At 38.7% G+C, this 24,041-nt stretch overlaps 1 protein-coding gene across 5 annotated transcripts in view, besides 1 other annotated feature; it reads left to right on the top strand.

The window, feature by feature from the left end:
- Window positions 1–24,041, top strand: part of GNB4 (G protein subunit beta 4) — a 131,711-nt gene that overhangs the window by 91,995 nt on the left and 15,675 nt on the right. For all 5 annotated transcript variants that reach the window (XM_047448654.1, XM_047448653.1, NM_021629.4 and 2 more), the window contains 7 exons: window positions 9,562–9,660; window positions 14,877–14,915; window positions 16,299–16,405; window positions 19,248–19,311; window positions 20,757–20,919; window positions 22,023–22,089; window positions 22,191–22,392. In XM_047448654.1, the coding sequence (XP_047304610.1) occupies window positions 9,604–9,660; window positions 14,877–14,915; window positions 16,299–16,405; window positions 19,248–19,311; window positions 20,757–20,919; window positions 22,023–22,089; window positions 22,191–22,392 (699 nt within the window). In that variant the 5' untranslated portion in view covers window positions 9,562–9,603. The remainder of the gene's footprint in view (window positions 1–9,561; window positions 9,661–14,876; window positions 14,916–16,298; window positions 16,406–19,247; window positions 19,312–20,756; window positions 20,920–22,022; window positions 22,090–22,190; window positions 22,393–24,041) is intronic.
- Window positions 3,478–3,537: an enhancer, noted in NCBI's record as "active region_20867". NCBI's record gives its function as "activates an Ori minimal core promoter by ATAC-STARR-seq in GM12878 lymphoblastoid cells {active_cell/tissue: GM12878}" and the evidence as "EXISTENCE:reporter gene assay evidence [ECO:0000049][PMID:35858748]".

Genomic DNA, 24,041 nt, shown 5'->3' with positions numbered 1-24,041 from the left:
CTGGTACAGCTGAACTCTTAAAAGATAACTCATATGCTGCTTTCTGCTCAACAATGCTTTCACTATGTGATAGTTATTTAAAATGTGTTAAATGAACCAAATATTCATGTTGAAACAGTGCTTAGTCAAGAAGTTACGGTAACAAAATAAGAGCACTGTGTTTATGAAACAATTTCTATTTAATTATTAGTTTAAAATTGCCTTAGCGATGTTAATGCCACTTTGAAGATTGTGATAGGCAGCTCCAATGTGATCTTGAGCAAAAATTACTATTGGTTGAAATTGCTTGGCGATTACATTGTCCCCTTCTGATTTTTTTTTTTTTTTTTTTTTGTAAAAGAAAGGAATGGTGTGTGTATCTCATATTCCTCTTTAGCTTTGCTTCCTCCCAAGAGGGCAGTTTCTTAACTAGCTTGATGAAGATAGAACCCTGGGACACATAAATCAATATTTAAATGAATGGAGGAGAAGGACCCACAAAGGTAAAAAGAAGGAATAATTAAGTACAAGGATAATCAGAGAAGTATGGGTTCATGAAAGCCTTAGGAATGAAGTTTCAATAAGAAGGGAGGATCATTAGATTGAGCAAAGAGGTCTTAAGATGCCCTTTGAAAAGAGGCCGTATGGCAGAGTGGTAAACAGCCTGGGTTTCAGAGTCATATGCCTGGATTCAAATCTGAACTCTATTCTTAAGCAAGTTATTTAACCTGCCTAAGCTTCATTTTCTTTTTTCTTTATTTTTATTTTATTCCATTTCATTTATTTTATTGTTCCCAGTGGACTTCAGGTACAAGAGTTGGATAAATTATAAATATACTCACCTTTGATTCCTGTAGCACTCACTTTTATATATTTGTGTTTGCTTGCTTATTTTATTTATTTATTTTTAAGAGACAGGGTGTCATTCTGCTGCCCAGGCTGGAGTACAGTGGTGCAGGCATAGCTCACTGCAGCCTTGAACTCCTGGGTTCAAGCGATCCTCTTTCCTCAGCCGTTGGAGTTGCTGGAACTATAGGCGTCCACCACTCCACTGCATCCAGCTTGTGTGCATTCTTTTTTTCTTCTTTCTTTTTTTTTTTTAATGAGACAGAGTTTTGCTCTGTTGCCCAGGCTGGAGTGGAGGGGTGTGATCTCAGCTCACTGCAACCTCTGCCTCCGAGGTTCAAGCAATTCTCATGCCTCAGCCTCCTGAGTGTCTGGTACTACAGGCACACACCACGACATCTGGCTCATTTTTGTATTTTTAGTAGAGACAGGGTTTCCCCACATTGGCCAGGTTGGTCTCAAACTCCTGGCCTCAAGTGATCTTCCCACCTCAGCCTCTCAAAGCTCTGAGATTACAGGTGTGAGCCACTGCGCCTGGCCCATTGTGTGCATTGTTAAGCAATGTATCATTTAGTTGTAGTTGTTTTTTGAGTTTTATAAAAGGGATATGATGCCAATGTGTGTCTCCTGGAATTTGCTTTTTTTTCCTCCCAATATTATTTTAAAGATTTATCTATGTTGCATGTAACTAGTTCATTTGTTTTCACTGCTGTATGATAATTCACTGTGAAAACACTACAGTGATCAGTTCTCCTGTCAGTGGGCATTGGTGTTGCAGTTTATTGTTATTATAAGTAGTGCTGTATGAACACTGTTCAATCCTGTGCACATGTACTATAGATTCCTTAGGGCTTATATATCCAGAAGCAGAATTGAATTGTCAGGTTGAAAGATACGTGTCGTCACCTTTGTTAGATGTTGCCAAATTGCTTCCCCAAGAGTTGTCCCATTGAATATGTCCCATTTCTACAACTTTGCTAACCATTGGTTGAGACATAAAATGTTATTAATCTAATAGGCATGACATTCTATCTTATTTTAATTTGCATTTCCCTGATTCCTGAGGTTGAGTGTCTTTTCATTTGTATGTGGTCCTCTGAAGCTTTTCCTGCTGTGGTTTGCCAGTTCATATCTTTGCACATTTTCCTGTTGGATTGTTAGTCTTTTTAATGATTCATTTGAAGTAATTACTTTAAAAATTCTAGATGCTAATTCATTATTTGAATTTTAGCTTACAACTATCTTTTCTCAGTCTGTGACTTGTTTTTTTTTTTGGTGTTTTGTTCTTTTGAGGTATCTATGTTCTCATCATAGATACCTTGTGTTTACCCAACTGAAGCTGCTTGCTTTTTTTTTTTTTCCACCGTTAGAGACAGGGTCTCTTTTTAAAATGTTTCCCAGGTTTGAGTGCAGTGGTGTGATTGTAGCTTACTGCAGCTTCAAATTCCTGTGCTTAAGCGATCCCCCCACTCAGCCTCCTGAGTGGCTGAGACTAGAAGCGTGGACCACCATGCCCAGCTGGAAGCTGCTAGCTCTTATAGTTGATCTTTTCTCATCTCCCCAGTTTTCTCATATATAGGAATAATTATAAAAATTGTCAGCAGTGGATGTGTCTGTGTGGTGGGGGTGGAGGGTACAGCTGGTCATTGAACTGTTGGTAAGCCTTTGGGGAGATTCTGCTCCCCTATGTTGAAAGTTTTTGGGTTTTGTTTTTTTTTAAATAGCATGCTTGATGCCTGTTTGTCTTCATCTTTGGGGTTCATTTATCAGATCTGTGTTATTGGGAGAAGTCCCACTCAATTTTCTGTTTTGCCTATAACTAGTGTAGATGGAAAACTTTCTGTCTGTAATCACTTCGTGTTTTTATCATTATTTCAGGAAAAGTCTGATCAGTGAGAAATGATTTTTTTGGTTTACTGCCTTCTCAGATTGGGCTCTTGATTATTTTAAACTTTAAGGAACACTGAATTAATTGATGCTGCAGTTAGTCCGCCTGGCTAAGACCCAATGGAGGATTTCTTCAGTAGTGGGTGACTGTCTTGCCAATTTCCACCCCCCCTCCACTTTCCATATTTTTCTTTTCCTCACATCACAAAGCTTCAGACATCCTTTTGCCACTTCCCTGATTTCTGTTTCTTATTAAACTATGGATGTAAAGGAACTGCAGGAGGGCAAGTGGTTAGATGACTTTCTCTTCTGCTGTCAAAATGTGTCCTTAAAAACCTGCCCTTCCCTGAATTTACGCATGCTTCTGATAAACAGCCTGAGGGAGCTACTTACTAAACTATACCTGATGTAATAGTATTGTTTCCAAGAATTAAAAATTTTTATAGTCATATTGTGTACACACATGTCAATACAGTTTGGCCACTTTGGATCCTTACCTTCAAAACATATTTACTAGGACTTGCCATATTAGGCTTCACCTGGGGCATCCTATGGCCTTTTTTTACCCTAGTCAGCCTTTAGGTTTGTCTTAGAGTAGTTTATAATCTATTGGTCTGTGCTAGATTCATGCTTTATTGGTATTCTCAGGAATCCAACAGTTGTTGGCTGAGAAGAAAAGATCACCCAAAAATCTGTGTAATCAGAATGTTCTCTCTCCCAAGTGACAAAATGAATCAGTTGTGTTTTTTTTTAAAGAGTGAAAAGTTAGTTCCTCTTTTTAGCAGCAAAAAGGAAAGGGGAAAAAAGGGCAGCTTTGACATTTCTTTTTAGACATCCAAAGAAAGGTTGCGGTTGTCTGGCACAGGCATCACAAGGGTTCTGATTTTGCAGCTTAGCAACATTTCTCAGCCCCTTGCCTCATAACTACGCTCCCTTTCCATCATGCCTGCCCAAACATAGCCGGAGCCTGCTGGACATGAGGTTTGAGAACTGAGAATTTCATGTGAGAAAGTGGGGTCATGTGTAGGCAGTTCTCTTTAAAAGTCCTTGGTGAAGGGAAGAAAAAGGACTGTAAGTGATGGTGCAATGTGGAGTCAAGGAATTTTTTCTTTTTTCTTTTTCTTTTTAAGGGAGGGACTTGGGCCTATTTAGCTGCTGGTGGAAAAGACCCACTTGAAACTGAAAGGTTCTCCACAGATTGTTTGCTGGATGAGAGTGAGGGATTATAACTCCACAGTGGACAAATTAAGCTGTTAACAGCTGAACACACTGAGGAATCTTAGCTTCACTGATAGTAGCACAAAGAAACATTAAGTTCATCCTGATGTGCTACAGTATGAAGTCCACAGCATCACCTGGAAGGATTCTTGCCAAATATATTGAACCTGAATATAATCTAGCCGGTAGATCTAACTTCCTTCCAGTTTACAAGCAATCAGTATAGAAGATAAACAAGTTAAACAGTACCATAAGAAGTAAACAGATTGGGGTACATTGTGTAGGACAAGTGATTTAGTCTTTTTTTTTTTTTTTTGAGACAGAGTCTCACTCTTCACCCAGGCTGGAGTGCAGTGGCGCAATCTCAGCTCACTGCAGCCTCTGCATCCTGGGTTCAAGCGATTCTCCTGCCTCAATTTCCCGAGAAGCTGAGATTACAGGCGTTTGCCAAGATGCCTGGCTAATTTTTTTGTATTTTTAGTAGAGATGGGGTTTCGCCATATTGGTCAGGCTGGTCTCGAACTCCTGGCCTCAAGTGATCCACCCGCCTCGGCCTCTCAAAGAGCTGGGATTACAGGTATGAGCAACTGCACCTGGCTGATGATTTAGTTTCTCTAATAAGTCAATGTCAGAAAGTGCAAAAGAGCAGGCAGGAGATGGATACTTCTAGATGGTGGGACAAGAGACATAGCTAAATGTATTATATAGTTCTTAATTGGATCTGGATTTGCACAAATCAGATGTAAAAAGACATTGGTGGAAGAGTTGGGAAAATTTGAAAATCTACTGGGTTTTAGATATTAAATAATTTCTGTTAATTTTGGTAGTTATGATAATAGTATTGTGGTTTGGTAGATATTGAAGTATTTAGGGCTGAAATGTCTTGATGTCTGTAACTGACTTTAAAATACTTCAGCAAAAACAAAAGATAAAGCAAATACAGCAAAAAAAATTAATACTTTGTGAAGCTATGATGAATATTAGGGTTGTTCAGTCTTTCTCTGTGTTAGAACATTTTATAAATAAAAAGACTAAAAATAGAGAAAAGTGTAAGAGATTGAATATACTGGAAGTATAAGATTACTTAAAAGGTGAGAGTTTAAATCACTGGTGGAGGGGCTGGGCATGGTGGCTCATGCCTGTAATTTTAGCACTTTGGGAGGCCAAAGTGGGAGGACCAGTTGAGGCCAGGAGGTCAAGACCAGCCTGGGCAACATAGCAAGACACTATTTCTCAAAAAAAAAAAAAAAAAATTAGCCAGGCATGATAATGCATGCCTGTAGTCCCAGCTACTGGGGGAGGCTGAGGTGGAAGAATTGGGTGAGCTCAGGAGTTTGAGGTTACAGTGAGCTGTGATTGTGCTGCTGCACTCCAGCCTGGTTGACAGAGTGACACCCTGTCTCAGAATGAATGAATGAATCACCAGTGGAGGAATTGGCCCAAACAGGAAAGAAGTCAGCTATTCTATTATAAGAGAAAGGAAGGGCCAGGTACAGTGACTTATGCCTATAATCCCAGCACTTTGAAAAGCTCAGGTGGGGGGGATCGCTTGAGCCCAGGAGTTTGAGACAAGCCTGGGCAACATGGCGACCCTGTCTCTACCAAAAAAGAAAAAAGAAAATTAGCTTGACGTGGTAGTGCCCACCTGTGGGCTCAGCTACTTGGGAGGCTGAGGCTGGAGGATTGCTTGAGCCTGGGAGGTTGAAGCTGCAGTTAACCACCACTGCACTCCAGCCTGGGCAGCAGAGTGAGGCCTTTGTCTGTCTGTCTGTCTGTCTGTCTGTCTGTCTGTCTGTCTGTCTCTCTCTCAGTCACACACACACACAAGGAAGATGAGGAATATGAGTCAGTTATGTATGTATAGCTTTGTATATCTAGTAGTGGAAGATTGAAAAAGTTCATGTTTGATGGCTTCTACTTTATGATATAGATGGCAAGGTCATCTGCTGCAAGAGGGCTTGTGAGAAGGTCAAAATTTTGAAAAGATTGCAAAGGAATTTAAATATTTGATAGCAAAAGCAGAAGCAGTGCATACAAAGCTGTGCAGGGTTGCCAGGTAGTTTTGAGGGCCCAGTTGAGATTGGTGATGTGAATTTGTAGTAGAACTGATATGCCCCATTGTTTGACTTTCTCAATCAATGTTTGGCCACTTGAGTGCTGGCTGAAAGAAAGTAGGTAGCTGCTTTCATCCAGGGTTTTGCTTTTGCTGTTGAGTGTGACAAGATGGAAGGGCAGGCAGGCTAGGGTACTGTGAAAAGGCTTGAAGTTCTGGACCTAGAATGCCTGATGAAGTACTGGATGAAGCCTGGTTAAGAAGGGATGAGCCACAAACTCACTATTTTCCACATTGGACCCCTCATCTTTTTTCTTCTGAACCCTATATCCATGACTGTAAAGGACCTGGGATCTTTACCTACTTACAAGCGAATAAATGAGTCTGTTACTGTTTGATGAAACTCCTTGGTCAGAGACAAAAGATTTTATTACTCAACGGTGAGTAGCATGGTGTGATGATGCTTTGTGTTGATTCCCGGTGTTCCCCAGTGCCCACAGGGTGACACAGGTAGGCCCAGATGGATGCTGCACGTGCACTGGATTTCATCACAGCCTAGAGACACTGAGCTTGGGGGTTTTACCCCTTTTACAGTAAATAGAAGCCATTCTGCTCTTCATCTCATGAGGAGACATTGTCTTATTCCTTGAGGTTGCATGTTGCAAAACAACCCTGAGAGATGGCCCAAGTAACAGCCACTAGGGACTTGTGTTCTTGGCATTCCCAGCCAGAATGTGCAGGAAGGGCCCGGGTCTGGGACAGATTGCCTCACCCGTCATCCCATCGGTGCCCCATCCACGGAGTGATGGTGGTGAGGGAACTGCTTTTTCTTTGTTTCCCATTTCTATTCATGGTACCTCCATCCTTAGGGGCACTCAGCCTGGAAATTCTCATTCATTTGGTACAGATCATAGTTTATCCCAAGTAACTCTTATTACAGGTAACTCCTGCTTTAGAAGGTCACTGGTATGTGTGTGTGGCTTTGGGGGAAGGACAGCAGTAGGATGGGTTACAGGTAATTTTTAATAAGCTTAAAAGTTCTGAGACCCAGCCTGGGCTCAGCGACTCATGCCTTTGGTCCTAGTGCTTTGGCAGGGCAATATAGCTAGAACCCCATCTCTACAAATAATAACCATAATAGTAATAATAATAACTGCAAATTTTTAAAAAGTCCCGAGGCCCTTTAGGGTCCCTCGATAGTTCTTTCTAGTGTTTTAGTTAGTAGGAGGGATGTAAACTAGTTGTGCTTACCCAAAATGTTTTGGGACCCTAAAAATAAAGAGGTATCAAAATAATGAGAGTTTCTAGGACTGTGGGGCCAGGGATATCTCAGGAATGGTCAGCAAGGGCAGCTAAGGTTGCGGCTTTAAAGAGCCCGCATGCTGCTTGTCTTCACTTCAGCGGAATGGGATTCCAGACCGGCTGTAATCTGTCCAGTCTGGCCCTCTCTGAGATGCATACTAAATTGTTAAACAATCAAACTTTATCAGGGAATGGTTAAGACTCATAAATAAAGATGGAAAATTTGGATAAACAGAGAAATATGCCACAATATTAAATTGGAAATGGAATATTAGAATGATTTTAGTTCTTCTGGAACTGTTTTATATACCTTAATGCCATTCCAGTCAATCCCAATACATTTATTTTTTAATTGGACAAAATAAATACAAAGTGAATTCTGAAAGAATAAATAGATACTGGTTTTTCTTTTCTTTTTGTCTGAACATAATAAACAGATATTTGTACCATAGTTGATGCGATTGTAGCATAGACATCAAAACCAAATTCTCTCTCATGAGGGGAATCAATCTTTTATAGGAATTTGGACTTAGGACAGTCATTTCGGGCTACAATCTTGACCTAAAAAGTTATAGGCTTGGGTTTTGTACTTAGGGGAGCAGAAAAAGTCATTCTGTAGAAAGAAAAAAACCAAGGAAGATAAGAAGAGAAAAGAGACCAGGACAGGTAGAGAAAGAATACTCCCAGTTTCTAGCCTCTAGTGTCTTTTTGAGGTAGTAATATTCCTGTCTTTTGGTTCTGTGATTCATCCTAAATCCTTAGAATGAATATTCCTTTATTTGTTAAGCTATTTCAGGTTGCTTTATTTACTGGAGACCAAAGTATCTTAAGTGATGGGGATACAACAAAGAATAAAGCAAACAGAGACCCTACCTGAAGGAACTTTACATCTTTTTTTTTTTTTTTTTTTTTTAAAGCCAGAGTCTCACTCTGTCACCCAGGCTGGAGTGCAGTGGTGTGACCTCGGCTCACTGCAGCCTCCTCCTCCCAGATTCAAGCAATTCTTTTGCCTCAGCTTCCCAAATAGCTGGGATTGCAGTCATGTGCCACCACACCCAGCTAATTTTTGTAATTTTGGTAGAGATGAGGTTTCGCCATGTTGCCCAGGCTGGTCTTGAACTCCTGGCCTCAAGCGATGCACCCACCTCAGCCTCCCAAAGTGATGGGATTACAGGCGTGAGCCACCACACCAGACCCTTTACATCTTATCAGAAGGAAAGAGATCACAAGTAAGTAAATACATGCTGATGGTGTTGAGTCTCATAGTGAAAAACAAGACAGGGTAAGAGGAGCATGTTTGGGTGCACATGTGCTATCAGCAAAGGTCCCACTGAGAAGATCACATTTGGGCAGATTTAGTAAGGGAGCAAGGGATTATAAAATCAGAGACAGGAGCTATCCAAGCAGAGGCAGGAGCAAATGCAAAGACACTGAGACTGGGGCCTGCTTAGCATGTTCAGGGAACATCAGAGAAGTCTTTGAACAACTGGAACAGAGTGAGTGTGAGAGTGATACATGAGGTCAGAGGGGGGTGTGTGTGTGTAATGATACAGGGTCTGTGGGTCAAGATAGAGTTTAGTGGAGTGGAAAACCATTGGAGGATTTAAAGTGACTTGTATTTTAAATGGATCTCTAGTTGCTCTAATTAGACCAGAGAGTGGTCGAGGGCAGCAGAAAGGAGACCAGGTGAGAGATGGTCATGGTGATGTGGACCCAGACAGTAGAAGTGGAGGAAATCAGAATTAGAACCTGGATAATTTCTTAAGGAATAACTGACATGATTTGCAAATGGATTCGATGGGGAGGCTATGATTAAAACAGGACTGCTCCCACATTTTTAGCTTAAACAATTGTAAGTAAGGATGGTCTTGCCGTTTCCTGAGATGGGGAAGGCTTGGGGGTGGGGTGGGGTTCAGTTTTGAGGTACTGTGTTAGGTGCCAATCCAGACATCCAAGTGGGGAAGTCTCTTGGTGTCCTCTGAACTGTTGTAAAATATTTCTCACCAGACTCCATTCTGGTACTAATTCCCCATAATTCAGCCTTGAATACTACAACTTGGAATTTCTCCTCCATCCTCTGATCATGTTCTTGTATACAACCCTTCAGTAAATAACCTCATTCTATATTTACTAAGCATCTTTAAATTCCTTTAATAATTGACTACCTCCATTGAATTTCAGTAGGTCCAAAAAGAAGTTATATGTCAGTATTGTAAAACCAGATTAAGATGTAAGTAGAGAACTGAATCTTTCTCTTGCTCTCTGTTTTTTAACAGCTGTTTTCACTCATTAGCTCCTGAGGTAAACAAATTGAAAAAATGAGCGAACTGGAACAGTTGAGGCAAGAAGCAGAACAACTGCGGAATCAGATTCAGGTAAAACCTTTTCATTTCAAAATGTTAGCACTTATTTAGTACCAGGAATCTACAAAATTTGCCTATTAGTTTATCAGTCTATATTAAATGATTTCTAAGGCTAGAAATGGTCTTTTTTTCTCTCACATGGCGAAGTAAGAACTGAGGTCTATTTGTGTTTACCATGTCTCGAAAGAACTCTTCAAAATTCATTGCGAACAAGTACCTATGTAGAAGAATGGCCTCTATGAAAGACAGACATAATTCTCTTTTTATTTACATGCCTAGAATCATAGATTTTTGGTACAAAACCATAATGTAGATAGTGTCACAATATAATGTCACACTAGGGAAATATTAATCTATACATTAATTAGGTTGCAGAAAATCATTAGGGTGGGCACAGTGGCTCATGCCTGTAATCCCAGCACTTTGGGAGGCTGAGGCAGGTGGATCACCTGAGGTCAGGAGTTCAAGACCAGCCTGGCCAACATGGTGAAACTCTGTCTCTACTAAAAATAGAAAAATTAGCCAGGCGTGGTGGTGCACACCTGTAATCCCAGCTACTTGGGAGGCTGAGGCAGGAGAATGGCTTGATCCCTGGAGACGGAGGTTGCAACGAGCTGAACTCACGCCACTGCACTCCAGCCTGGGTGACAGAGCGAGACTCTGTCTCAGAAAAACAAAACAAAACTATCAGTGGCAGAATCAAAACATGTCTGACACCTTTTACTCTTGGAATCAACTCAAAACAGTAAGGATAAGAAACAACTACAAACTCCATCTTTAACAAAATTAACAGACACTAGAACTTCAAAGCGTAATGGATGGAGAGGAGTTGCCAAATGCAGTGAAGCAGCAGCACGTGGGGAGGCTCTGAGAGGAGGCGTCTGCGTGGGGAGCACTCTCTAAGAGACAGCACCACGGTCCCTTCTTTGGAACAATGGGAACAGATGCTTCCTTGGACTTCATTAGCACTGAGAAATATCAAGGAAGGCAGAGCTAAAAATGAAAGGATATAGACATGCCATCTTGTAGGAAGCCTGGCGGTAAGCAGGGTGGAGGAAAGAGGCTTTGAGTTGTGAGTAGCCTGGCAGCTGCCTACTTCTTTTCCCAGAGAAAAGTAAAGGCTAAAGCAACGTACAAGGGTAAGCAGGGAGAATCTCATAACTTGGAACACAGCTGCTGCTTTTCCCAGTTTGAACCTCTCACAATAGCTGTTTCTGAAGAATTTGTCTAATTTAAAAGTGAAGAGTAGGCTGGGGGCAGTGGCTCACGCCTGTAATCCCAGCATTTTGGAAGGCTGAGGCGGGAGGATTGCTTGAGACAGGAATTCAAGACCAGCCTGGGCAACATAGGGAGATCCGTCTCTACAAAAACAAACAAAAAAACGTTAGCCGGGTGTGGTGGCTTGTGCCTGTAGTCCCAGCTACTCGGGAGGCTGAGGTGGGAGGATTGCTTGAGTCCAGGAGTTCGAGGCTGCAGTGAACCATGATCACACCACTGCATTCTAACTGGACAAAAGAGCAAGACCCTGTCTCCAAAAATAAAATCTCTACAAAGATGATACAAGAAAAGAGAAGAAAAGATTAGTAAAAACAGGGATGGATGAAGAACATTCACCAGAAAAGTGTTGATTCTGAGTGAAGTCATAACCAGACAGACTTATTGCCAGGAATTCAAGGAAGGTAACTATTTAGATGTGAATAAGAATTATGAGTTGAAATCTTAGGTATCTCAACAAAGCTTTCAGAACAAAGGAGAGATGTATTTTGCCTGGGATAATCACAGAAGGCTTCGCAGACTCATCTCTGAATTCGATGTTACTGCACCCACTAGAAGGAATTTCTGCCCTCTCTACTTTGTGTCACTTACTCCAGATGCTGAGCAGGAGCAGCTGATTGGCTAAACCATGTGGCCACATGCCTATCTCATTTAATCCTCACACCGACTCTGTGAAGTCGATGGTGTTACTTCATTTAATAGTTGAGGAAGCTGAGGCTCAGTGAGATTAAATAAGTTGCCAAGGTAACAGATCCAGGATTCAGACCAGGTGTGTTCTGCTATAACTTAAAGTTGGTTCTCCCAACCTTAGTTACTAATGTCCTTTCCTGCGACTTGTGCTGTAGCCATACTAGTCTGGTTCCCTGAACACGCATTACTCTTTCTCATCTCCTTTCCTGCGACTTGTGCTGTAGCCATACTAGTTTGGTTCCCTGAACACGCATTACTCTTTCTCATCTGTTACCTTTTATCAAATTGTTCCCTTGGCCTGGAATTATACGACTTCTGAGCCAATTTTGCTCTTTGGAAATCCTATCTGTTGAGTCCTAATCCTCCAAGAGCCCTCCACTTGGATTTATCTTTTTTTTTTTTTTAAATCAGAGTGAGACGGAGTCTCAGTCGCCCAGGCTGGAGTGCAGTGGTGCGATCTCTTCTCACTGCAACCTCTGCCTCCCAGGTTCAAGTGATTCTCCTGCCTCAGCGTCCTGAGAAGCTGGGTCTATAGGCACACACCACCACGCCCAGCTAATTTTGTATTTTTAGTAGACACGGGGTTTCACCATGTTGGCCAGGGTGGTCTTGATCGCTTGACCTCATGATCCACCTGCCTCGGCCTCCCAAAGTGCTGGGATTACAGGCGTAAGCCACCACGCCCAGTCAAGTTTCTTAACTTCATTGATGATCAGTATCTTTGCTGTGAAGCAAGAGTACCAGTACCCCACTTTATATGTTTCTGCAGAGGATTAAGTGAAATAACACATAGAGGACTTAGTCTGCTGCCAGCAAGTGGCAGATTTTTACTTGTACAGCATGTTGGACTTCTGTTATAGAGCTGATCACGGTCTGCCTTGTGTTGTAGTTCTTGTGCATATTTGCCCCTACTGTTTGTACCTAGATGGATAATTTTGTGTCTTAATCATCTCCGTATCTCACTAGCATCCCAAGCACAATGTCGTGGGCGCAGGTGCTCACCAAATCATCTCCTCCCATGATTTGAAGTAACCACATATATGTAAAATACTATGTACTTTTCTTAGTTTAATTGTCACACTATATTTAAAAATCTTTCTGGCTGGGCACGGTGGCTCACACCTGTAATCCCAGCACTTTGGGAGGCTGAGGCGGGTGGATCACGAGGTCAGGAGATCGAAACCATCCTGGCTAACATGGTGAAACCCCATCTCTACTAAAAATACAAAAAAAAGCTGGGCGTGGTGGTGGGTACCTATAGTCCCAGCTACTCGGGAGGCTGAGGCAGGAGAATGGCATGAACCTGAGAGGCAGAGCTTGCAGTGAGCCAAGATGGCGCCAGTGCACTCCAGCCTGGGCGACAGAGCAAGACTCTGTCTCAAAAAAAATCTTTCCTTCCTTCCTCCTCCCATCTGGAAATATAATCTAACTATATTTTTACCTTACTATAGTGTAAATACATGATATAATAGAAATGTATGCTATGTATTATAATAGATGATTTGTTTTAAATTTTAAAAAATGCAAATAGAGAAAATAGATTTTGTTTTCTTGTGTAATTGTTATGTCTTTGATTTGCAAAAAAGTATGTATCATCTTTCTTTTGCACAAATATCTTACCAGATTTTTTATTTCTTGTGGTGCTGGACAGTATGGAATTCAGCCTTTAATTGGGAATATTTTTTATATTCTGTTCTTTTTTTTGTTTTGTTTTGCTTTTTTTTTTTCCAGAGACAGGGTCTCACTGTTTTGCCCAGGCTTATCTAAAACTCCTGGGCTCGAGCGATCCTTCCTCCTCGGCCTCCCAAAGTGCTGGGATTATAGGCATGAGCCATCACGCCTGGCCTTATATTCTGTTTTATAATGGATAATAGTGTTCATAAGAGAGAGTTCTCAGTGTAAATAGAATCTTTGCATAATGTAATTTTGCACATAACTGCTGCTAACATATTTGTAGAATTCTTGTATTCCAACATAATATTTTAATTTTTGTTACCAATTTTCAGCGTAGTTCAATAATTTCCATTTGCAATTTTTAAATTGTGTTACTAATATTAATGTAAGCTCAATGAGGGCAGAGATTTTTGACGCCTATTGGTGCCTAGAATAGTGCCTGACACATAGTGTTCAACCCAGTTTTTTTAACAACTAACTAAATTAAAAAAGATAGTCTAAACAATGATGGTTCATTTTCATAAAGCTTGAAGTCAAAGAACCTTTTTTAAGAATTTGGTCTTTAACTCTACCATTTTTGGAACATGGTTCAGGCCCATCACTGTCATTTCTGGAAACTCTTCATTATAGGAAAGTGGGCTACATTATTCCTTACCAGATGAGGTCTTTAAACCCACAATTTGGCTAAGAATGAAATAATCAAATCACATGTTTAGTGCAACTACTTGTGAACACCCTTACTTAGAAATATTCTGAGTGGTTATAAATAGGTTGAAAGGGCAGCCAGAAAGATCATGTCTGCCATCCAGTGTTTGCTGGGAGCTGAAGCAGGCATTTTTCCCTCGGCTGACTGGAACAAGTTGTCCATTTGGGACATTTATTCAGCAAACATCTTGTGCGTTCTCCTTGCCCAGGACTATGCAAGTACTTAAACACTGTATAGAAAAAACAAAATTGAAGAGGATACTACTATAACCTTTGTGGAAAAAAGTTTAAGCCTAGCAGGAAGGATTTAATTTCATTTCTTATTTTTCTATGTATATAAATCCTCTAAATTTGTTAACTGATAAATTTGAAAAAAACTGATGTTTGGTGTAAAACTTTTTTTATTAAATATGTTCTTTGCAGTCTTTAATTTTTTGTTAATTTCTGCTTCACCGTCTTCCTTTTGATAATCCTTTTCAGTTTGTATAAAAATTTGAGGTCTCTCAAATTTTTATTGACATCTCTCAAATTTTGTTCAGAAGAGGCAAATCCATAGAGAAAGAAAGTAAATTAGTGACTGTTAAGGGCTGTGAGAGAAAAAGGAATTAGGAGATATGGGGTTTCTTTTTTGGGGTGATGTAAATGTTCTGTAATTAGTGGTGATGGTCACACAACATTGTGATACTAAAAACTACTGGATTACATGCCTTAAAATGGTTAAAATGGTTTGATTTAGGTTATGTGATTTTTATATCAATTAAAAAAATTTTTAAAGATGTGGTACAGTGAGAAGTAAATTCACAAATCTACGTTTTCAATAAAAGTATCACTTTAGTCATTCCACAGGTTGCTAAATGCATTATAATCATATTTTTTTACTTCAGGATGCTCGGAAAGCATGTAATGATGCAACGCTTGTTCAGGTAAAGTTTTGTTTTTCTTTATTTCATTTTGGTAACTCATAAAATAATTTGACATAGAGGCAAATGACATTCAGATTCTTGTATTAGTGCTTAATTGAAAAAAGTTAAATGAAATCTCTGTGTAAAAGCACTTCGTAATTTGTCAAATGCTATACAGTGCGAGTGCTTTTTAAAATATATTGTTAAAATAGACATCTATGGAAAAATAAATGCTATAAAAATATACCAGCTATACCAACATGGTAAAACCTCATCTCTACTAAAAATAAAAAAAATTAGCTGGGCATAATCCCAGCTAGTCGGGAGGTTGAGGCAGGAGAATTACTTGAACCCAGGAGGCAGAGGTTGCAGTGAGCTGAGATCGCACCATTGTACTCCAGCCTGGGCGAGAAGAGTGAGACGCCGTCTCAAAAAAAAATATATATATATATATGTATATATATTTTCAAGGCCAAGCATGGTGGCTCATGTCTGTAATCCCAGTACTTTGGGAGGCCGAGGTGGGAGGATCACTTGAGGTCAAGAGTTTGAGGCCAGCCTGGCCAACATGGTGAAACCCTGTCTCTACTAGAAAAAAAAAAAAAACATGAAAGTTAGCTGGTCATGGTGGTGCCTGCCTGTAATCCCAGCTACTTGGTAGGCTGAGGCAGGATAATCGCTTGAACCTGGGAGGCAGATATTGCAATGAGCCGAGATCCCTACTGCATTCCAGCCCAGGAGACAAAGTGAGACTCTGTCTCGAAAAAAAAAAAATTATATATATTTATGTATGTATATATATATGTATGTATAGATTCATATAGTTTATGCTTCTTTTTAAATAGTTTCTGATTCTTTTTGGTATACCCTGATTAAGTGTTTTTTTCCTTATGAAAACTCTTAGGTTGGGAATGAGATAGTAAGAGGGGTCAAGAAGACTAATATTTTTAAAAAATCTTGGGAAGGCTTCATGTTTAATTAATATTGATCATTATTATTAAGGAAGTATTTTATGTGCTCTACAAATATAAAATTGGCTTTCTTACAGTTAAAATTGTAAATGTTTACTGTGATCATTTGCCTCTAGATTTTTATTTGTGGCTGGTTTTTTACTAAAGCATAGAGGTATATCTATTCTTTTTAGTTAATAGTCTGCAGAAGGCATTCTTATTATACATTTATGTATATTATTTATAACAGCACATAGGATTATTTTAAACTAATCATAATTTTCAGGAACATATTGATCCCATAACGGCTCTGTGGAATTATATACATTAAATTACCTTCAGTTACTATAAATGTACTTTATGTTTGCTTTTTTAACTCCTCACTGTTTCTAGTTCAAGTTATCTCATGAACTATGATTAAGGTAAAGAATAACATTTTTGTTGCTTTCAAAAGATTACATCAAATATGGACTCTGTGGGTCGAATACAAATGCGAACAAGACGTACACTGAGGGGCCACCTAGCTAAAATCTATGCTATGCATTGGGGATACGATTCCAGGTTTGTACCTGTCATTACCTGTCATTTTTAAACTGTTGCAGAATTATTTTCATTAAGAACCATCATTTGCATTTTCTTTGTTTAAAAACAGAATATATTCATGAAGCGTTTGCAGAAAATGCATCTCAGATGAACATGCTGCTTTCAATAAGAATATTAATTGACTCTTTAAAAGTATAAACATTTTTAATATGGAATCCAGGACAACTGTTCAGAAGAGGATTCCTTTTCTTTGCAGTGGAACATTGCAGACATTCTTTGTTTTTTAAATAGGCACAAAGCGTTTTTACTGTATATGAAGCTTGAAATTTCAGTTCATAAGCAAATACGTATTGAACACCTATGTGCAAGTTTTTGGATATTGCTATAGTTTGTTATTACATAAATTCGCAAATAATGGAAATTACATGAAACAAAGGTGTTTGTACTGAATACATCTTTTACTCCCTCGACTGCATCACAGAAAGGTGTGTGCTTGAATGTGCAAGCTGACCATCTGCAGGTGCACAGGCACACGCACAGCTGCTACGTGGCCTACAGTTAGATAGATTGCTCATCACTGTCATTCACTATGTGTATAAGGCTACAGCACAGCCTATGTTTTTCCATTGTCTGGCAATAGCAGATGTGTCTGCTATCACAGTGGTTTACTTGTTCCTTTGATTTGGTTAATCTTAATGGGAAATGCCTAAACCAAGAAACTTCTATGTTTTAATAGAAGTTGCACATTTATTCTCTTCTCCCAGGAGACACTAAAATTATAAAGTAGAAGAAGCCTCAATTGTTGCTCTAATTGGGATACTTGACCACAATAATATAGAACATGTGCCTCTTACGAAGGGATACATAAAATTATATAATTGGCAACTGACATAATGTCTTAATCTTTTTCTTTTTCTTTTCTTTTTTCTTTTTTTTTTTTTTTTTTGAGACAGAGTTTCACTCTTGTTGCCCAGGCTGGAGTACAATGGTGTGGTATCGGCTCACTGCAACCTCTGCCTCCCAGGTTCAAGGGATTTTCCTGCTTCAGCCTCCCAAGTAGCTGGGATTACAGACATCCACAACCACGCCTGACTAATTTTTGTATTTTTAGTAGAGAGGGGGTTTCACCATGTTAGCCAGCCTGGTCTTGAACTCCTGACCTCAGGTGATCCAACCGCCTCAGCCTCCCAAAGTGCTGGGATTAATCAGGTGTGAGCCACCGCGCCTGGCCGAATGTCTTATTCTTTTTCTTAAAGGAGTTGAAGATAAAAATAATTTACCTGTTGATAAAGCAAAATTTTAACTTAAAATATAGTAACTTGAAACAATGTTTATGGTTCTTGCTTTCCTTAAACGTTTTCTGAAGACTGTTAATCTTCATAGAAAAATGAAACCATCATCCAGGAACCTATCTCACATAGTCTTCCCACCCATCCGTGTTATCAATCCATTACTTAATGTTCTCCTCAACTCTTATGCTGATGATGCCAATTGATTTCTAAAGAATTTTCTTTAGATGCCATCCTATACCCCACTATCAGATAGATCTTCCCTTTTGTAAAACCTTGTAGTGATTGCTACCCAAGAATCTGATAATGTTATTTACCTCTAGGGAAAGGAACTGGGTGGCTGATGATAGGCCCAGGAAGGTGCTTTTTAAATTTTCTTCTGTATATCCTTTTTTATTTTTTGAATTTTACACCATGGTGAAAAGTAAAAATTCCAAACAAGGCTGGGCATGGTGGCTCATGCCTGTAATCCCAGAACTTTGGGAGGCCAAGCGAGTGGATCACTTGAGGTCAAGAGTTCAAGACCAGCCTGACCAACATGTTGAGATCCCATCTTACCAGTCGTGGTGGTGCACACCTGTTATGCCAGCTATTCGGGAGGCTGAGGCAGGAGAATCACTTGAACCTGAGAGGCGGAGGTTGCAGTGGGCTGAGATCGTGCCATTGCACTCTAACCTGGGTGTCACAGTGAGTGTCTGTCTCAAAAAAAAAAAAAAAATCCAAACAAAACAAAAAATTTAGTGGCTAAAATTACTTAGGAGTTCATACTCTTTAGTTTAACAAAGCTTTCTGCAGTTTAAGCCCAGTCTGCTTTTCTCAACTTATTTTTCCATTTTCTCACAAACTGTACTACTGGAAGACCCACAATTCCTGAAACAACACTCAGTGTATTTTTCTACCTGTCATTGATCTTACATAGCTTTCTCCTAAAATACAGCCTTTTCTGTATCTTTAGCTCTCAACATTTTCTTTCAAGACTCATTCTCTTGTGATTAACTCATCTAGCCATTGTTCCTCCTTTACTCTCCTGTGGCATTTATTTTATACCCCTCTTCTGACAGTTTTTACTTACTTGATTTAATATAAATATGAGTAAATGTCTTATCTTCACCAGATGGTAGAGGCCTCAAGAGCAGGCGATGTATCCTGCGTTGTACCTCTAGTATTGTCATATTCTCAGGCTCTCAATTGGTGTTTTTAGATTGGATGAAATATGGTTGTTAGGCTTCTATGTACATTCTTGTCATGAAATTTAAGTAAGTCAGTAAGTACTAAACCAGTCAGCTAATATCCACCCAAATCTTGTATAACTAAGATGTTGTTACCACAAAAATGTTTAATCATAGCCAGACATTTTTAGTCAGTTGCTAAATTTTATTTTATGAAATATGTTCAAGATTTTTGGCATGCAGCATAAATTTTTTAAAAGTTGGAAGAACATTTTTTGGTATCAAGTTTTTAGTTGGAAAAATTGTATTTTTCTGAATTATTCTACATTAATGCAATGCATAACCAATTTAAGCTATTTTTTCCCTCTAAGTGTCAAATTATTTTTGTGTTTGTTCCTCTAGGCTGCTAGTCAGTGCTTCTCAAGATGGAAAATTAATTATTTGGGATAGCTATACAACAAATAAGGTAGAATTTCTTCATAATTCTTTTAAATAACCTTATATTTGTTTGGCTGTTCACCAGTTCTTTCCTTTATTCTTTTACCTCAAACTTAAATTGCTTTCTGAGATAAATTTATTGTTTATTTTAATCTAGTTCTTCTCTTTTGTCTTAGTGTTTACTTTTAATGTTTAACCCTTTTTCATTTCCAAAGATGACTCTATGTTTTACTAGAGGGCTCATATTTAATATATGAATATTAGAAGAGTACCATTTTACATATACTAATAAATGATTTTTAAAAATTCCCATTTCCTAATATGACAAAGACCTTGAGATTTTTATTTCTAGTTTTGGATAAGTTAGATGGCTAGTGGGAAGCTCTTCTTTGGCCCGCTCCAGGCACTGATTTGTGCTTCTGGACTTTTTAGAAGATACAGTAGATTGGAGGTAAATGACAACTTACGTAGATCTCTTGGTGGTAAAAGACTGTGGATGGTCCTAATACATCCACTGGAAGGAATCCCCAGTTTAAAATAGTTGAGTGGTGAAAAAGCTTCAGGAATACTTTGATAAGCTAATACCTTTATACTCTGTGTATACATATTAGTATTTTTATTAAACATTTGAAAATACCATTTTGTGAAATAATAATTTCAACCTGATTGAGATTTTAAAGCTAGCTAAGACAATTTTGTAATATAATAGTTTTTCTTTATTAATCATCATTAAGCACATTATCTTTCAACTATATTTTCATAAAACAAAAAAAATGTATTTTAAGCGTATTATTTTAGGTTAAGTGAGAGCATAGTAGTAATCCTGCCACGTGTTGATTCCCTGTATGGACTGTTTAGCCGTGGTATTCTCATACACCTTTTTTCCATCTGACCTTCAAATGATTGGTGTTAGGGTAACAAGGCAGCAGACAGTGTTGTTTCTAGAGCAATAAAAAACTATCACCATTGTTTGAATGAGATCCCAGAATAAGGGCCTATTAATAGAGGGATGCCAGTGTTGTCTTTTCATGGAAGACTCATGTAATCGACTCTGATACTTGCTAATTATTTCCCTAGTTCTTGTTCAGAGTTATGTTGGAGGAAATTTCTCTTCTGAGCACTATTACAAAAGTGAAAATTCTATTAAAACCTCTAACATTTTACACTTAATTTTTCAAATGGCAGTATATTAACCTTGGAACATCTTTATGTTCATTATTTTATTAAGAGAATTATTTCCAAAAAGAGCACTTTTTGACTCAAATGATTTGATAATACAAAACAATAGGCATTTTAATGTGCGTTAGTGTTGTATTTTTCATGGTTCACTTTCTCAAGCCATTACATTATTTTATTTGACTTATCTTTCTTAGATGTGTTTAATTTTTAATAATATTTACTTCATTGTAAATGGGTTTATGCAATAGATGACTGTTTTTGTAATCTGAGTGATGTGTGGTGTGTGCCCTACAGATGCATGCTATTCCTTTGAGGTCCTCCTGGGTGATGACCTGTGCTTATGCTCCCTCTGGTAATTATGTTGCCTGTGGAGGCTTGGACAACATCTGCTCTATATATAACTTAAAGACCAGAGAGGGAAATGTGAGAGTAAGCCGAGAGTTGCCAGGTCACACAGGTGAGCTTCCCTAAATATTCTTTCCCACCACACGATTCCTTGTGTGGAATGTGCTGATCAAGGACAAATGACAGATTGTGCTCGGCTGGCTAAAGGATGAGGATTAATCGGGTGGGAATGAAATTATTATGAACAAAGGAAACATTAACTTTTTATAGTCATACAAACGTTGATCATAATTTTATTTTTCAAAAATAGCTGTATTGTTTTTGTAAAAAATGATAAATTTACTGCACAAAATTCAAACTCATGAAAAATAAAGCAAATAAAATGTTCTCCATTTTCTGCTGCCATATAACAATTATGGGATTGTGGCATCTGTACTCAATTACATAATTGAAAGTATGCATTAAGGTACATTAGTGAAGTGCTTTTCACCATGATAGTGTATTGCTTTGTTTGCCAGTGTGCCCATCATAGTTCAATAGTGTAGTATTGGGTTAGTGGTGTTAATCAGGAATTTATTGCCACTTATCTGGTATCTATCCATCTGAATTTTTAGCCATACTATTTGACCATGCTTTTACAAAATCTCTAGAATGGTGTTTTTCTGACATTTCCATATTTTGAAACACTGATGAATGCTAAGCATTCAAATGCCACATCTTTCATAAAGTCTTCACTGTTGTTCTTCTGATTTCTTACAATATTTTATTTTTTTAATATTTTTTATTTGAAAAAAAAATTTTTTTAACTGCTCCTTGCAGAGAAGGGCTAACTCATAGGCGGTGCACCCAGAGGCATCCTCTCACAGTATTTTAAAACTATTTCTCCAGGGTGCTTAACACAGTCGGCCATAGATTATAGTTCTTCCCAAGGTAATTGTCTTAGGTGGCAGGGGCTGTGTCTTATTCAATTTGGTAACTTTCAGAGTACCCAGCACAATGTCATTAACATAGTTAATGCCTAAGAATGGTTTGTGGATAAAATTTGGTTTATAGACAATGTAGGATTTGAAGTAACTAAAAGTAGAACTATAGACTATATTGACAAACACTTGTTGCCCAAGTATTCTATTTTTAAAAATATATATTGCTATTTCACATGGTAACTGAGTTATTCAATCAGTGATAACCTAAAATTTGCTACTCTTTATGCTGTAGGGTACTTGTCCTGCTGTCGTTTTTTAGATGACAGCCAAATTGTTACAAGTTCAGGAGATACAACTTGGTAAGTTTATTCCAGAAGCACACTGATTATGGGTTTGAGGGTGGTAGCAGGAACTGACATAAGAAGAAGTAATTGTCATGAAATTTTGTTTTTAATTACAGTGCTTTATGGGACATCGAAACTGCCCAGCAGACCACCACATTCACTGGGCATTCTGGAGATGTGATGAGTCTTTCTTTGAGTCCTGACATGAGGACTTTTGTTTCTGGTGCTTGTGATGCCTCTTCCAAATTATGGGATATTCGAGATGGAATGTGTAGACAGTCTTTCACGGGACATGTCTCAGATATCAATGCTGTCAGTGTAAGTGAATAGCATTTCTAGAGAAAATTTATTATGCATTTAAAGTGTTGAGCTCTATGGCATGATTTTAACAACAAATTGCCTTCAAGGATTCTTACAAGTAATGTGCTCTTATAACTTTGAATCTCCAAGTCATAAGGGTTTTTGATTTTTTAAAAAAGAAAGCTTCAATTCATAGTCCTAGATCTTTTTTGTTATTGTTGGATTTTTTTTTGTTGTTATTTTTTTGTTTTTTTGAGACAGTCTTGCTCTGTCGTCCAGGCTGGAGTGCAGCGGTGCAGTCACGGCTCACTGCAGCCTCGACCTCCTGGGCTCAAGCGATCCTCCCACCTCAGTCTCCTGGTAGCTAGGATTACAGGTACACACCACCATGCATGGCCAATTTTGTATTTTTTATAGAGATGGGGTTTTGCCATGTTGTCCAGGCTGGTCTCGAACTCCTGAGCTGAAGCAATCTTCCTGCCTCGGCCTCCCAAAGTGTTGGGATTACAGGCATGAGCCACTGTTCCTGGCAACCTAGGTTTTTAATTGCTGGTGAATATCACTTTTTTTTTTTTTTTCCAAAGTGGAGGGATTATCATGAGTAAACAAGCAGATCGTGGATGTTCTACCAGTGAATTCAGATGAGAAAAAAGTCTCGTCTTTCTGGGACCAAAGTGAACAACCCAAAGAGAGAACAATAAGGATGAAAAAAGCAGCTGATTAGTGTGGAGTATAGCTTTTGAAGTCAGTGCAACCCGGGACCTAATCTTAGTTCTGCTGCCATTAAGCACCTGTGTGAAACTAGTCATGCTGCTTCATCTTCGTGAACCTCAGATTCTTCAGTTTTTAAAATAGGGATAATACCACCTACATCAGAGAATGGTGTGGAGACTAAATGAAACTAGGTATTAGATGCTCAGTAAATGGTATAAATTATTATTATTATTATTTAGAGACAGGGTCTCATTCCGTTGCCCAGGCTGGAGTACAATGGCATGATCATAGCTCACAGCAGCCTTGAACTCCTGGGCTCAAGTGATCTTCCTGCCTCAGCCTCAGGAGTACTGTGACTACAGGCATACACCACCACACCTGGCTAGTGTTTGTTTGTTTTTTTTAATCTTTGGTAGAGGCAGAGTCTCACTATGTTGCCCAGGCTGCTCTTGAACTCCTGGGCTCAGCGATCCTCCCACCTCAGTCTTCCAAAGTGCTGGGATTACAAGGAGTGAGCTACCATGCCTTGCTGTATCAGTTATTTATAAGCTACTTCGTATTTAAAAAAACTACCTAAACAGAAAACCATAAATAGATTAAGCCAGGTAAAAAGTACTCAGTATATAGGAGGATAAGCTAGTCATAGATATCTGTAAATTAGGGTAAAGTGAAAATAACATTTTGAATGACAATCAAAATGATTATCAAATGGTCAGAATTGAGGGGGAGGGGTGTTAAAAGAAGGTAGGATACTGCTTGAGTTAGGTTACCTAAGCAGATCAGATGCCAAACAGTACAGATATGACTAGAATGTCCAAAAGTACCATAATTGCCAAGGATTTTAATGTTTGAGAAACATTCTAATTTTATAACAAGACATTTTTGGGGAAAAATTAGTAAGCTTTTCTTTATCATACACTTATTGAAAGTCACTTTTTTTACATGATTTTATA

The sequence above is a fragment of the Homo sapiens genome, chromosome 3, assembly GCF_000001405.40.
Source record: "Homo sapiens chromosome 3, GRCh38.p14 Primary Assembly".
NCBI classification, from domain to species: domain Eukaryota; kingdom Metazoa; phylum Chordata; class Mammalia; order Primates; family Hominidae; genus Homo; species Homo sapiens.
This window is presented reverse-complemented; position numbering and strand designations above follow the sequence as displayed.